At 44.3% G+C, this 16,289-nt stretch overlaps 1 long non-coding RNA gene across 1 annotated transcript, besides 3 other annotated features; it reads right to left on the minus strand.

The window, feature by feature from the left end:
- Window positions 7,944-8,445: an enhancer, noted in NCBI's record as "NANOG hESC enhancer chr19:23708068-23708569 (GRCh37/hg19 assembly coordinates)". NCBI's record gives its function as "activates a minimal SCP1, AML or CMV promoter by ChIP-STARR-seq in primed H9 embryonic stem cells {active_cell/tissue: H9 hESC(primed)}" and the evidence as "EXISTENCE:reporter gene assay evidence [ECO:0000049][PMID:30033119]".
- Window positions 8,309-15,356, minus strand: LOC105372337 (uncharacterized). Its single transcript, XR_936485.3, has 3 exons — window positions 14,209-15,356; window positions 10,596-10,692; window positions 8,309-9,265 (listed from the first exon to the last, which is right to left on the minus strand). It is a non-coding gene; the product is annotated as an uncharacterized LOC105372337 (long non-coding RNA).
- Window positions 10,465-10,584: an enhancer, noted in NCBI's record as "active region_14392". NCBI's record gives its function as "activates an Ori minimal core promoter by ATAC-STARR-seq in GM12878 lymphoblastoid cells {active_cell/tissue: GM12878}" and the evidence as "EXISTENCE:reporter gene assay evidence [ECO:0000049][PMID:35858748]".
- Window positions 15,461-16,074: an enhancer, noted in NCBI's record as "NANOG-H3K27ac hESC enhancer chr19:23715585-23716198 (GRCh37/hg19 assembly coordinates)". NCBI's record gives its function as "activates a minimal SCP1, AML or CMV promoter by ChIP-STARR-seq in naive H9 embryonic stem cells {active_cell/tissue: H9 hESC(naive)}" and the evidence as "EXISTENCE:reporter gene assay evidence [ECO:0000049][PMID:30033119]".

The raw sequence follows: 16,289 nt of genomic DNA on the forward strand, positions 1-16,289 counted from the left end.
TACTCACTGAGCTCAGTTATTCAAGGAGTGGTGGGTATAGAATGGGACTAGATGGGTAAGGAAGAGGGATGAAGGGTCCTCAATAGAACTTTCAGGTGGACTAGGGGTAGAAAGGATGGACACAGCTGAACCTTTAGAGCTGACAGAAAGAGGTTCTGTTTCACCCCAAAATGCCCACTGAACCAAGTGGCCGGGGGTGGGGGGGGGCTTGCAATAAAGGATCAGCTTGTCTGTCTAAATTTTTTTCTTCTACTTCTCTCAGGAAACATGTCCATGCCTGCTGCAGGGTTTCATTCTGACTGAGCAGCAAAAATGCTTGAACATGAAGTATTTTATCCTATTTTCCCTACCACTTACAGAACAAATCGAGTTGAACTACAGTATAAGTACCCATTAGAGGCAATTTTTCTTGTATCTTTCTGAAATTGTTTGCTGCTTTTCCATGCAGATCATCCTTAAGAAAGTGTACAATCTTAGCCCAATCTGCAATCTCTGTTCCTGAGGTTTTAGTAACATGATGTTTCTCTTTTGTTGTAGACAGCACTGAAGATGAGTTTTCATCCCAGGGAACAGAAAGACAAAAGGTCAAGATGTGCTTCAAAAAGCTGGTGAGGGGCATTGGGTCAGGAAAGGCCAGGCTGTCTAAGCATTCAGAGACCCCCTGTGCAACTGTCCTTGCAATTAGGAGCCAGGCCCCAAAAACCTTCCCACTGCGTGTGTCTTTGACCTGTGCTAGGTCCTGCTGTTGATTAGTGTTCCCTACTGAGCAGTTAACCTATGGTTTGAGTATTTACACCCAGGAGAATGTTGCAGGCCAGCCCTCAGTCAACTTAAAATAATCAAAAAGGTTAAAATGTAATCTGAAATACATTTACTCAAGGTCAGATATTGAGGATGACCACCAGGAAAACAAATTTAAGTTGCCCTGGATATATATTTCAATTAGCAGCCATTCAAAGCAAGTCTTTTCAAAAAAATGAGAAGGCAGTTCCTAAGTTGTTAACCAAGAATTCATATTTAAATGCATAAGCTATTGATTGGCTATATATATTCTTTTGTTTTACAAATTCCAGAAATAATGGATGAGACTGCTAGTCAGAAACAAAATGTCTATAAACAATTGCCCCTAATCCCAGCATTCTGGGAGGCCTAAGTGGGCGGATCACCTGAGGCCAGCAATTGGAGACCAGCCTGGTCAAAATGGTAAAACCCCATCTCTACTAAATATACAAAAATTAGCTGGGTGTGGTTTCATGTGCCTGTAATCCCAGCTACTTGTGAGGCTGAGACAGAAGAATCATTTGAACTCAGGAGGCAGAGGTTGTAATGAACCAAGATCATGCCACTGCAGTCCAGCCTGGGTGACAAAGTGAGACTTCATCTCAAACAAACACACAAAAAAAGAATTTCCCCTGTGTAAAGTTCCACACTTTCATCTCCCTGGTCTTGATAAATTGTGCAGACCTTACAGAGCTGAGACTGCTCTGAGCTATTTTTATTTTCACCTCCTTGCTCCGGACACATGAACTATTAACAATAAAAAGAATTTACATAAGAATCTTGGCAAGCCACAAGAATAATGCCAGGAGGTGACCTCCAGGAACCTGGCTGTCACCTTCTTTTCCCACCTTACCCTCCACTCCTCTTACACACACACACCCTGGATCACAAGACCAACAAAACCACTCCATCAGCCACAGACAGAGAAGCCACAGAAGAACCCAGAACCACTGCATGGCCCCCTTGGACCACCCTAGAATGAACAGCCATTGTTAACATTCAGGAGCCGTTTATTCCCATCTTCACACTACACTAAATAACTTTCAAGAGTCACAAGATAAACTGGCTGAAAGCTGATGCTTGGAACATCCCACATCCCCCAGGAGCTCAGTGCTGCAGTCTCAGGTACAAACCTGCCCATCAGCCATTCAAATGAAACAATTGTTATCAAGAGAGCAGAGTCCCTGCAATGGTCCATTAATTTAGAAAGTTTATTTTGCCACAGTTAAGTAGGAGCCTGTGACACAGCCTCAGGAGGTCCTGATGAAATGTTCCCAGGGTGGTTGGGGTACAGTTTCTTATACATTTTAGAAAGTCATGAGACATCAATCAATATGTTTAAGATGTACATTGGTTTAGTCAGGTATGATGGGAAAACTTGAGGTTGGGGCTTCTGCATCACAAGTAGATAAGAGAAAAAAGAATAAATGTATTTGAGCCCTTGATAAGTCTCCCACTGAGTACACAATTTAGTCTGGCTCAGTGAATCTGCATTTTGATATTAACAATAGAGCAGAGAAAGTAAGCAGATATGTATTTGTCTCAGGTGAGCCTCAGAGGGATGACTTTGAGTTCTGTCTGTCGTCTACTCAGTAGAAATATTCTTGTCAGCAAATTGTGAGGTAGGTGTATAGCTTTTTTATCTGCATAGCTATCTTATTTAAGAATAAAATAGAAGACAGCTTTGCTTGACATAGTTTCCAGCTTGACTTTTCTATTGGATTAGTAATTTTGACATCCTGAGATTTATTTTTCTTTCACAGCGGGGAACTTTTGATTATCAAGTGTATCTGTTTAAACTTGACAATAAAACAATGTATCTATTCAGAAGTAACAAATAGAGGTTAATGGAAAACTTATAAAACAAATATAACTATTTGTCTTTATAATCTTTCACAATAGCCCATCTTAGGTCTTCCATTTCTTATTCACTATAATTTAAATAAAATTTTTTCATAATGTTATAGTTGATCTCTTTGTCTGCGGCATTAAAACGAGGGTGATTCCATCTTGAATAGTGTCAGGTAAAATGAGGCTGAGACCTATTGGGCTGCATCCTCAGGTTAGGCATTCTTAGTCACAGGATGAGATAGGAGGTCAGCACAACTTACACTGTATTTAGCAATATGTCACAATCATCCCTGTAAGCAGGGTGCAGGCACAATACAGGAGTCAGATATTTAGGTCATGGATGCAGAGATATGTCACAGAGTCCCCAGGGGCAGGGTCAAGAAAGGAGCTTTCTATTCCCTAGGAGTTGAGCCCACCAATATATCACAATACCCAAAATATGTGAGACCCACCCCCCCCAAAAAATAAAGAGAATCACATCACCAAGGTGCTGGGTCAGGTGATATGTTGCAATTGCCATTTGTGGCAGACTCCAGCCATAAGAACAGAGTCACAACACCTAAGTGATAAAACGATATTTCATAATACCCTTCTGAAAACAGTCCATGCAGAAGACTCATATTACGTAGGTGCTGGTTTCAGCCATACATCACAATGCACAATGTATGCAGAGACCAGGCAAAAAAATGAGTCACATCTTGGGCAGAGCCAAAGCAGTAAATGAGAGTCACATCACCTAGGTTCTGGGTACAGAAATGTCACAGTACCCTCTGAGGAAAGAGCCCTGGCAGAAAAGTCACATCATCTAGGTGAGAGACCCAGAGATATGTCACAATGCACCCTGTGAGTAGGGCTCAGAAAGAAGAGAAAGATCACATAACCTAAGAGCTGGACCCAGCTACATATCACAACCACCTTAGTGGGCAGGGCCAAAGCATGAGAAGAGCCACATCATGTAAGTACTTGACCAAGTGATATGTCACAACCTTCACTGTGGACAGGCCCCAGGAAAGAGAGTAGAGTCACATCATCTAGGTGATGGGCCCAGAGATATGTTACAATAACTTCTGTGGACAGGGACCAGACAGAAGAATGACATAGCCTGTGTGCTGATCTCAGGGATAAGTCACTCTCTTTTATGGGAGCATGGCCGTGAGAGGAAAGGAGAATCACATCTTCTAAGTGCTGCCCCCAGAGATAAGTCACAATCTCTCCTATAGGCCAAACCCAAGTAAAAGAGTCATAGCACTAAGATGGTAGGTTCACAGATATGTCACTATGCCTGCTGTGAGCAGAGTTTCAACAGACGGCTCACATTACCTTGTTCAGTCCAGCAGTATGTCATGATCTACATTGTGAGCAGAACCTATTTAGAAGAGAAGACTCACTTCAGCTAGGTGCTGGGACCAGTAATAGAAAAAAAATCATTTATGTGTGAAGGGACCTGGTAGAAAAAGAGAGTCACATTACTTCAGTGATTGGTACAGAGGTGGGTCATAATGCTTCCTGTAGGCAGGACCCAGGAAGGAGAGTTACATCACCTGGATGTTGGACATAGCAATATGTCACAATAATCCATAATTGCAGGGCACAATCAGGAGAGTCACATAACCAAGGTGTGGGTCTCAGTCACATGTCACAAAGCCCTCTGTGGGCAGTGTCAAGGCATATGTACAGTCATACCACCTAGGTGTTGGGTCCAGCGATATGTCACAATCCAATCTATAGGCTGGGCACTAGGCAAGAGAATCAAATTACTCAGGTGCTGGTCAGAGGTGTATTTCACAATTACAGTTGCAGTAAATGTAGGGAAAAATTAACAATCCTGCACATGACCCATTTCTAGGTATTAGAATCAACACCCTTTGTAAGTTGAGTTTGAGTACATCAGTTACAATCTCAATGGTGGACTGAATACATGTATAAGAGTCTCAATCTTTGCTGTGAACTGTGTCCCCAGTGAAGTCAAAACCTCACTGGTATGTTGAATCTTGGTCTGAGACTCATCAACCCACATATAGACTGAATCCATGTGTGAGAGTCAATTTTTCAACTTTTGGCTACCTCCAGGTGTGAGAATCACAACTTCAACAGTGAGCTGTGTTCATGTGGAAAGATGTCAATCTTTACTGTTTGCTGGGTGTGCGTATAAGTGTCACAATGTCACCTGTGATGGACCTCATTATAAAACTCTCTGTACCACCTGAGGTATTTATACAATATGCATGATAGTCACAATTTTCTCTGAGACTTTTTCCTAGTATGGACTCATAATTGTACCTGTGGAACTAAGCCCATGTATGCGACTCAACAGCTCTCCAAGTAGCTGGGTCCAGAGAGAGAGTGTTCACCTGCCTATGACCTGGGTTTAGAAATGAGTCACCATGTGAACTGTGATGGCATGATCACACATGACAGTCAGAATTTTTACTATGGACTGCATTCACCTGTGAAATTCAGGATCTCTCCAGTGGGCATCACATTCTCTGTACCATCAAAACACTTTATACAAAATGTGAAAGAATAGTAATCCTCTATGATGTTATTATCTAGAGAAGACCCAGGAATATACCCATTTCTCCAAGTTTAGTTACAAGTGCCAGTATCTCTCCTTTTGGCTGATTCATGGTATTAGTGTCAACATCACAACTGTGAGCTTGGCTAAGGTATATGTCGCAACCCAAACTGTAGAAAGAAAACAGGAGAGTAGCATCACCTGGGTGCTGGGACAGAAATATGTTACAATTTTTTTAGGGCAGGGGCCAAGCAGAGAGTCATATCACTTGGTTGCCTGGCCAGGGTTATGTTACAATTCTCTTCCAAAAGCAAGGCACAGAAAGCAAAGTCACATTAATTGGGTAATGGACTCAGCTATATGTCACAATTTTCTCTGCAGTTAAGACATGTGTACAAGAAAATCACCACCTGGTTGCTGAACTCAGAGGCATGCCACAATCTTCTGTGTGGGCATGGTGCAGATGGAAGAGGAGAGTCACACCTCCAAAGTAATGGATGAAGAGCTATGTCACAAGGCCTCTTGTAGGCAGAGCCCAAGCAAGAGCCTTTCACCCACTTGGTTTGACCCAGCAATATGTCTTAATACCTAAAATACACAGGGCCGATTTGAAAGATGAGAGTGATAAGGCCTGGCAAAATGGCTGACACCCATAAGTTCAATACCTTGGGAGGCTGAGGTGGGCAGATTTCTTGAGGTCAGCAGTTCGAGACCAGCCTGGCCAACATGGTGAAACCCTGCCGTTACTAAAAATACAAAAATTAGCCAGTTGTGGGTGTGCACACCTGTAATCCCAGCTACTCAGGAGGCTGAGGCAGGAGAATCACTTGAACCTGGGAGGTGGAGTTTGCAGTGAGCCAAGATGATGCTACTGCACTGCAGCCTGGGTGACAGTGTGAGACTCCATCTCAAAAAAAAAAAAAAAAAGAAAGAAAGAAAGAGGGATATCACTCGATGCTGGGGCCAGTGATTTTACAATCCCCCCTTTATACAGGGCTCAAGTAGAAAAGGACAGTTAAATCACCTAGGTGATAAACAAAATATGTCATAATTTCCTTATCAGAAGGGCTCATGGGGGAGAGTCACATCACCTAGCTGTTGGACACAGCCATACTTCAATATACACAATTTTAAATATACATAATATACAATTTGTATATTGAAATATGGTTGGGTCCAACACCTAGCTGATGTGACTCTCCTGCATAAGCCCTACCAACAGGGGACATATGACATATTATTTTATTTATCACCTAAGTGATGTAACTCTTCTTTCTCACCTGAACCCTGTAGAAGGAGAGGAGAGTCACATCACCAAGGTGCTGGGCCCAGTGATATATCACAATCCCTCCTTGGGCAGAGCCCAAGCACTAGAAAAGAGTAACATCAGCTTATTGCTAGGTCAGTAAAATATGGGACAAAACTCCCTAAAAAACAAAAGGCCCATGCAGCAGTCTACCTAATTTAGAGCTTCAGAGATATGTCAAAATGCCCTATGTGGGTGAAGTTCAGGTCAAAGAGAAATGTTATATAACCTAGGGCCTTCACCTAGTTATATGTCACAGTCACCCCAGTGGGCAATGCTCAGGCATGGGGAAAATGTTAAGTAGGTGCTGAGACAAGTGATCTGTCATAATCCCCACTGTTGACAGGTCTCAGAGACAAAAAAAAAAAAAAAAAAGTCATATCATCTAGTTTAGTGGGCCAGGGACATTCACTATGTCCTCTGTAGACAGGTATGAGACAGAAAAATTACATCACCTGTATACTGTGCCTAGGGACTAGTCACTCTCCCTTCTGTGGTCAGGGCCCAGGTAGGAGCAAAGGGTAACATCATGTAGGTGCTTGGCCCAGATATGTTACAACGTCCCCTATGGAAAAGCCCATGTAAAAGTGGAGAGTAACATCAAATAGATGATGGGTCCAGGAATGTGGCAAAATGTCTCCTGTAGCCAGGGTCTAGGTAGGAGATTCACATCACATGGGTGTTAGACCCAGCAATATGTTACAACAGCCCATGTGGGCAGGGCACATAAATGACAAACACATTACCTGGGTGCAGAGACCAGTGATATGTCACAATGCCCTCTTTGGCAGCACCAAGGCATGAGTACAGGGTCACATCATCCACATACTTGTTCCAACAATATGTCCCAATCCCATCTGTGCACTGGCCCCAGGCAGGAGAGTCAAATCACTCAGGCTATGTGCAGAGACATGTTTGACAATCACACATGCAGAAAGGCTCAGGGATAACATGAATAATTTTTCACATATTCCCATCCTAGGTATGAGAGTCAATACCAGGCCGGGCATGGTGGCTCATGCCTGTAATCCCAGCACTTTGGGAGGCTGAGGTGGGTGGATCACAAGGTCAGGAGTTCGAGACCATCCTGGCCAACATGGTGAAACCCTGTCTCTACTAAAAATACAAAAATTAGCTGGGCATGGTTCCGTGCACTGTAGTCCCAGCTACTCGGGAGGCTGGGGCAGGAGAATCGCTTGAACCCAGGAGGTGGAGCTTGCAGTGAGCCTAGATCGTGCCACTGCACTCCAGCCTGGTGACAGAGTGAGACTCTGCTCCAAAAAAAAAAAAAAAAAAAAAAAAAAAAAAGAGAGAGTCAAGACCATTTGGAGGTTGGGTCTAAGTACACAAATCACAATCTCAATGTGGATGGATTCCTGAATAAGAGCCTCAATCTCTCCTTCAGACTGGGTCTTCTCAGTAAAATCATAGCCTCAGAGTTGTGCTGAATCTTGGTCTGAATTACCAGCCCAGATGTGGACCAGATCCACATACGAGAGTCAATGTTGCAACTTTCCACTCCCTCCAGGGTTGAGATTCAGAACTTCAGAAGTAGGTTGTGTTTATCTAAAAGGATGGCGTAGTTACTGCTGACTGGTTTTGAGTACCAGTATCACAATGTCACCAGTGTGCTTGGTCATGTAAGGGCATTCAATGTATTACTGAGGGCTTTATTGCCAGGTGTGTCCCACAGATTCTGGTCTATGGATTAAATTAGTACTCAGACACAGGTATGCAGTGTAAGAGCAGCTAAGGGAATGCCAGGCTTTAGTAGCCAAAGTGCAGCCCTAAGAAGCTGGAGCCACTTGCTTTTTTCAGTGCAGGCACAATACCAAAAACCTGGAGCCAACACAAGCTGCAGGTAATTAACATTTATTGTTCCCCTTTCAGGGAATGTCACACACGCAAATGATCAAAGGTCAGTTCCTGATCAACATAAGTAAATAAGCCTGTTTAAGATAAATTCTTCCACACTCCCTTGTACCTACTGCTTGCTCTCTGCCTCAGGGTTATAGAACAGCTGCCTTCAGCTATTCTCCCCTGGAGCTCTGCAGGACCTTCCAACATTTCAGAAAATTTGCGTTCTTTCCCTATCCTTTTTCCACCACTCTGACCAATCTCCCACATCTCCCCTTTTTCTGTTTTTTTGCATCAGGTTTTGTTGATTGAAGCATACAGATCTGAGCAGCGACAGGTTTGACTGGTGCAATGGTTACAGTTTGTGTTCCAGCTTTGCACCCTAGAACCAGTAAATAACATAAGACAAACATGAGTATAATCAATATTATTCTTTTCCAATCAAGGATTGATATGTAATGTTACTTGGCACCTGAGTCCAATGTGTGCCATTACTGAGGGACCCCACCGGGGGTAAGTCAATACCTCCCAGCCAATTGGTCACGTTGTCAGAGGCTGAGAAGGGGGTACCTTCCCAAGTAAAATGCCGTAAGAAAGGCAGATCTAGAAGATGGGCCCAATAGTTTATAGCAGGTGTGGGTTGCAGGCAAAAAGAGAGAATAAGAAGAATCAGTATTCTATAAGAGTTGCAATGTGGAATAAAAAGCATAGCAAAGAACAAATTATATGGATTGAATGGTATCTGTGTCTGAAGCAGATTTGTTCAGCCTCCTGAGTTGTGTTCTTCAGCATTCCCCAGGTAATGTCTGGGGCCTGTGTCATCCAAGGAAGCCACATCATCCAGGGTTGTGGGTTCTGCATCGTCATTTCCTTTATTTCTGGTAGCAGGTTGGGCCCTAGTCATGCCGTGGTAAGGTTTGATGCATCATGCTGGAATCCAAAGAGGACCTAAGGGGCTGTGAACACAAGCATATCCCCTTTCCCACGTTAGCAAATCATTTGGACCACACCGTACATTACTATTTACACCTTTCCATAAAACTGAAGGCTTTCTATTTTGAGAGGTTTTTGCAAAGTGCTTATCTATGGCTCATTGAAATGTATCATCTAAATTTAAGAAATTAAGAGTAAATAAGGCTTGTGCTAGTAGTGTTGTAAGGTCCCTACTCATATTCACCCTTTTTTGATTTTAAGCGTATTCTTAAGGGTGGAATGGGCACGTTTCACTATGACCTAAGTTAAATGATTGATAAATTCAACAAATGGCTCCTGGGGCCCTTGTCATACATTTAGAAAAGATCACTGTTGAACTCCACCTTTGAGAATTTGGTCCCAGGCCCTGTGAGTGCACTGACTCTGTGCATAGGCTGGGGGAAAAATTTAATTGTTGTTGTACATTTACATAGGGACCCCTCCCCTGGAGTATAGCAGCTGTTATGTTTTGCCTGGCCAATTGATTCTGGTTAGCTTGTTGTTCTCATAACTCATCATGTTATGCCCTCCAGAGGAGGTATTGACTGGCCTCTGAAGTTGTTTTAGCTAGCACTAACCAGTCCCATGGGGTCATGTGGAAGTTATATGCTATGGCCTCAATTAATCCTTTCATAAATGGGCTAGTGGCTCCATTTTCTCTAATGCTCTTTCTTATTTCTTTATAAGTCTTGAAAGCAATGGGTTCATGTACATGATTGCCTTGTTGATCTTCCATCATCAGGCAAGCCAAGAGCTCCCCCTCTAATGCTGCTTGCCTAAGACAGGGTCCCATAACTGTAGTGTATCCCTTGTCTTTTTCTCAATTTACTGGGGGAGGGGCTCAGGGAAAATCTATGTCTCCTCTGTGGCACCTTCACTCGGTAATGGCGGGGCTGAGAGAGGAGGAGATAGTAAGGTAGGTGATGATTCTTCCTCCCTTCCCATTTTATGCTCTTCTGTGTAGAGTGGGGCCAAAGCAGTCCTAACTTAAGGCCCATAACATTAAAGAACATTAAAGATGCTACTGGGACTCATTGTCCTTGTGCATAATGTCATTTAAGATTTCTTCCCACTTGTTCCCAGAGCTCTAGGTCTAGTGTGCCTTCTTCTAGGAATTATTGGTTACAGAAAATAACAGTTTGCATTAGGGCCCTTAATTGAGCCTTTGAAACCGAGGCTTCACTAGCTTTAAGCAGTTGTTTCAATACTTTTATATACTGTTGCTGTTGAGCTGATTACTGTTGTCTCATGATGAAACCCTAGGTTGAAAAATCCCCCAAACTTGGAAATCCCCAGCGGGCATCAATTACTTACTGTGCAGTAACTTCACTTTCGTTTTTGAGGGTTCCATCATGATGCATTTCATTGCTTCTTACATGGGGCACCACCTGCTGGGTCTGTCCCACAGATCCTGGCAGACAGTTGAAATGAGTACTCAGACACAGGTATGCAGTGTAAGAGCAGCTAGGGGATTGCCCAGCTCTAGTGGCCAGAGTGCAATCCAAAAAACTGGAGCTGCTTGCTTTTATTCCATGCAAGCACAATGCTGACAACCTGGAACCAACACAACCTGCAGGTAATTAACATATATTGTTCCCCTTTCAGAGAACGTCATGCAGATGATCAAAGGTCAGTTCCTGGTGAACACAAGTAAATATGTAAAGAAGTCTCTTTAAGATAAATTCCCTCACACTCCCTTGTATCTACCCCTTCTCCTCTGTCTCAGGATTATAAAACAGCTGCCTTCAGCTATTCTCCCCTGGTGCTCTGCAGTACCTTCTGACCTTTCAGAAGGTTTGCATCTTTCCCTATAATTTTTCCACCACTCTGACTGATCCCCCACACTTTATACAATATGCTTGTGAGTAGCAATCCACTCTAAGGCATTTGTGATGGTATGGACCCATGATAGTACATGTGGCTCTAAGCCCAGGAATGAGTCAACATCTCTCCAATTGGCTGATCCATATAGGAGGTGCCTCACCTGCCTATCACCTACATTTAGAAGTGAGTCATCATTTGTAGCTTTAGAAATGAGCCATTTCTGGCTGTATGTTTGCACATCACTGTCACAATTCCAACTGTGGACTGCATCTGCATATGAGATTTAGGACCTCACCAGTGGGCTCTGTCTATGTAGAGATTACAATTGTAATGTGTGGCAGGATGTTCTTTTAAGAAACACAATCTTGGGCTGGGCATGGTGGCTCACACCTGTAATCCCAGCACTTTGGGGGGCTGAGGCAGGTGGATCACCTAAGGGGTGGAGTTTGAGACCAGTGTGGCCAACATGGTGAGTGAAACCCCTAAAAAAATTAGCTGGGCTTGGTGGCACGTGCCTGTAGTGCCAGCTACTTGGGAGGCTGAGGCAGGAGAATCACTTGAACTCAGGAGGCAGAGGTTGCAATGAGCCAAGATTGTGCCACTGCACTCTAACCTGGGTGACAGAGTGAGACTCTATCTCCAAAAAATAAATAAATAATAAATAAAAGAAACACAATATCATCCGTGTTTTTGTCACTTGATGACACTCTTTGTGCCACCCAAGGGCTTTGTACAATATTTGAGAGAGTGGCAATTCTCTATGAACTCAGTGAAAAGAAAAGACAGGATCGTGTTCATTTTCCTAACACTAGCTAGGAGGGAGTGTAACTTTTTTTGGGGGGTGGGGGAAGGAGTCTCACTCTGTCACCCAGGCTGGAATGCAGTGGCGTGATATCGGCTCACTGCAACCTCTGCTGCCCGGGTTCAAGATATTCTCCTGCCTCAGCCTTCCAAGTAACTGGTATTACAGGCACCTGCCACCATGCCTGGCTAATTTTTGTATTTTTAGTAGAGACGAGGTTTCACCATCTTGGTCAGTCTGGTCTCGAACTTCTACCTCATGATCCACCCACCTCAGCCTCCCAAAGTGCTGGGATTACAGGTGTGAACCACTGCATCCAGCTGAGTGTAACTCTTTTATTGCCTTGTTCAAGGTGTGAGAATCATCATAGCAATTGCGAGCTGGGGCAAGATATATGTCACAATTACACTAGTGAGTAGGGAGTGAGCAGAAGGGTCACATCACCTGGGGGTGGTCTAAAGGTATGTCACGATCTCTTCTGAGGGCAAGAACCAGACAGGAGAGTCATAACACATCACCTAGGTGCTTAGCCAGGGATGCATTAAAATCAATTCCTATAAGGCAGACTTGGGTGCTCTGGCTCATGCTGGCAATCTCAGCACTTTGGGAGACCAAGGCAAGTGGATCACCTGCCAGCCAAGGCAACATGTTGGAACCCCACCTCCACTAAAAATACAAAAATTAGCCTGTTGTGGTGATGCATGCCTTTAATCCCAGCTACTTGGGAGGCTAAGGCAGGAGAACCACTTGAATCCAGGAGGCAGAGGTTGAAATGAGCCGAGATCACATCACTGCACTCCAACCTGGATGACAGTGTGAGATTCTGTCAAAAAAAGAAAGGAAGAAAGAAAGAAAGAGAGAAAAGATGGGCATAGGCCACAAGTCACATCACCTGGGTGCTGAGCCCAGTGATATGTTACAACGCTGTCTTTGAGCAACACCCTGAGAGGTGAGACACACACCTGGTGGCTGATCCCACTGACATGCTACAATCTTTTCTTCGTGCATCGTACATGTAGGTGAGGAGAGTCACATTTCATAGGTGGTGGATGCCAAAATATGTCACACGGTACCTGTGGGCAGGACCCAGGCAGGAGCCTCTCATCCCCTAATGTCAGACTCTGTGATATATAACAATATGCAAAATATGCAAGGTCCAGTCAAAAGATGAGTTACATCATCTAGGTGCTGGGCCCAATGATACGTTACATTTCCTACTGTGGACAGGTCCAGAAAGATAAGGAGACACCTATCACTTAGGCCATCCAGAGATATGTCACAATGACCACTTGGGCAGGAACCAAGAAGAATCAAATCCCCTGTGTGCTGGGCCCAGCAATAAGTCACTCTCACTTCTGTTAGCATGACCCAGGCCCAAAGATATATTATAATCTAACCATGGACAAAGTGAAGATAAGAGAGGAGAGTCACATAAAATAGTTGATGGACAGAAAACTCGCATCATCAGGGGTAGGGCCCAGCAATATGTCACAATGTCTTATGTGTGCAGGTCCAAGAAAAAAAAAAGTAATATCCCTTTGGTGCTTAGTTCAGTAATATTGTAAATATTGTACAATTTTTCCCACAGGAAAAACTAAAAAATAACAGAAAAAAATCAGCTACATGCTTTGAAAGGTCACAATTCTCCCTATGAGCAGAGACCTGGTAACACAAGAGAGTCATATCACCTGTGGGACTGGTGCCAGAGATATCTTTTTTTTTTTTTTTTGAGATGGAGTCTCACTCTGTCACCCAGGCTGGAGTGCAGTGGCACGATCTTGGCTCACTGTAACCTCTGTCTCCTGAATTCAAGTGATTCTTCTGGCTCAGCCTCCCTAGTAGCTGGGACTACAGGTGCCCATCACCATGCCCGGCTGTTTTTTGTATTTTTTTTTTTTTTTTTTTTTAGTAAAGACAGGGTTTCACCATGTTGACTAGGCTGGGCTCAAACTCCTGACCTTGTGATCCATCAGCCTCGGCCTCCCAAAGTTCTGGGATTACAGGCATGAGCCACCGTACCCAGCCACAAAAAACATTTTAAAATGCCTCCTGTAGCCAAGGCCCAGGCATAAAATTTACATCACCTGAGTGTTAAACTCAGCAATATGTCACAATGGCCCAAGTGGGCAAATTGCAGGCAGTTGAGTCACAAATTGTCAGTGCAGGGCCCAGCAATATGTCACAATGTCCCCTGACACCAAAACCTAAAAGAAGAGAAGAGTCACATAAGCTAGTTGCTGGGTGTAGCAATATGCTACAATTTCCCTGTAAGCAGGGACCAGCAGAAGAGAGTCACATTACCTGGATGCTGGGCCCTGTGATATGTCAACCATCTTTCCTGTAATAAAGACCCAGGAAGCAGAAACACATCATCTGGTTGCTGGCCACAGCAATATGCCACAACTTTCCGTGTAGGAAGGGTGCAGGTAGGAGAGTCACATCTCCTAGGTGAGGAATGCAGAGACATGTCACAATGCCCCTGTAGGAAGAGCACAGGTAGGAGACTCCCATCCCTTAGGTGTTAAGTTTAGCAATATGTCACAATACCCAAATATGCAGAGCCTGAAAAAAAGAGGAGAATCACATCACCTAGATGCTAGGCCAGTGATGTGTCACAATTTCTCTGAGCAGAGACCAGGCAGGAGAAAAGAGTAACATCACCATGGTGATGGGCACTGAGTTATGTCACAAGGTCCCCTGTAGGCAGACCCAGAAAAAAAAGTTACATCACCTAGGTGTTAAACCCAGAAAAATGTAACAATGTCTAATGTGATATATTGAGCCCCAATATGACACAACATGTAAGACACATTTGAGAGAGTCACATAACTTGGGTGCAATGTTGGTAGCAAGCCGTAAGCCTATCATAAATAGGTCTTAAAGATACTGGCCATAAACAGGATTTCTGCAGCAATGTGACATGCTTGTGATGGCTGTCATGCACACTGCTAAAAGTTGTTGGTTTACTGGAGCAGGGCAAGGGACACCTGGCCCAGCCTGGATGGAAAAACTGCTCAAACTGCAAATGATAGCAGGAGCAGCCTGTGCCTTGAGAGCATGTTTTTGCTGCAGATAATCAGCCAGAGCCTGTTTCTCTGCTCCTTTCTGAGAATCCTTTGTTTCCCATAAGGAATGCTTTTAGCTAATCTATAATCTATAATCTATAGAAGCAATGCTTATCACTGGCTTTCTATCAATAAATGTGTGGGTCAAACTCTGTTCAAGGCTCTCAGCTCAGAAGGCTGTGAGACCCCTGATTTCCCACTCCACACCCTATATTCTGTGTATGTGTCTTTAATTCCTCTAGCACTGCTGGGTTAGGGTCTCCACGATCGAGCTGGTCATGGCAAGCAGTGCCCAACGTGGAGGCTCAAACCCAGGTCAGTGTGTCACCAGAGCGACAGTTGGAGAACATAGAACTAAGTTGGAGGACACCTGAGTACTCTTTTTTTTTTTTTTTAGGGTTTTCAAAATAAAATTTTTCTTTTTTTTTTTTTTTACAGGTGAATTACATTTATTTATTTGCCATATTGTTCCTGTTTTTATCATGGTGAATTAGAAGCACAATTGTGAAATGATGGTTTAAGGCTTTTTCCCTCCTGGACTTTTCTTTTTTTTTTTTTTTTAATTGATCATTCTTGGGTGTTTCTCACAGAGGGGGATTTGGCAGGGTCATAGGACAATAGTGGAGGGAAGGTCAGCAGATAAACAAGTGAACAAAGGTCTCTGGTTTTCCTAGGCAGAGGACCCTGCTGCCTTCCGCAGTGTTTGTGTCCCTGGGTACTTGAGATTAGGGAGTGGTGATGACTCTTAACGAGCATGCTGCCTTCAAGCATCTGTTTAACAAAGCACATCCTGCACCGCCCTTAATCCATTTAACCCTGAGTGGACACAACACATGTTTCAGAGAGCACAGGGTTGGGGGCAAGGTCATAGATCAACAGCATCCCAAGGCAGAAGAATCTCTCCTAGCACAGAACAAAATGGAGTCTCCCATGTCCACTTCTTTCTACAGAGACAAAGCAACAATCTGATTTCTCTATCTTTTCCCCACATTTCCCCCTTTTCTATTCCACAAAACCGCCATCGTCATCATGGCCCGTTCTCAATGAGCTGTTGGGTACACCTCCCAGATAGGGTGGCGGCTGGGCAGAGGGGCTCCTCACTTCCCAGAAGGGGCGGCCGGGCGGAGGCGCCCCCCACCTCCCTCCCGATGGGGCGGCTGGCCGGGCGGGGGCTGCCCCCCACCTCCCTCCCGGATGGGGCAGCTGGCCGGGCGGGGGCTGCCCCCCCACCTCCCTCCCGGACGGGGCGGCTGCCGGGCGGAGACGCTTCCTACTTCCCAGATGGGGTGGCTGCCAGGCGGAGAGGCTCCTCACTTC

Source organism: Homo sapiens, chromosome 19 (assembly GCF_000001405.40).
Source record: "Homo sapiens chromosome 19, GRCh38.p14 Primary Assembly".
NCBI classification, from domain to species: domain Eukaryota; kingdom Metazoa; phylum Chordata; class Mammalia; order Primates; family Hominidae; genus Homo; species Homo sapiens.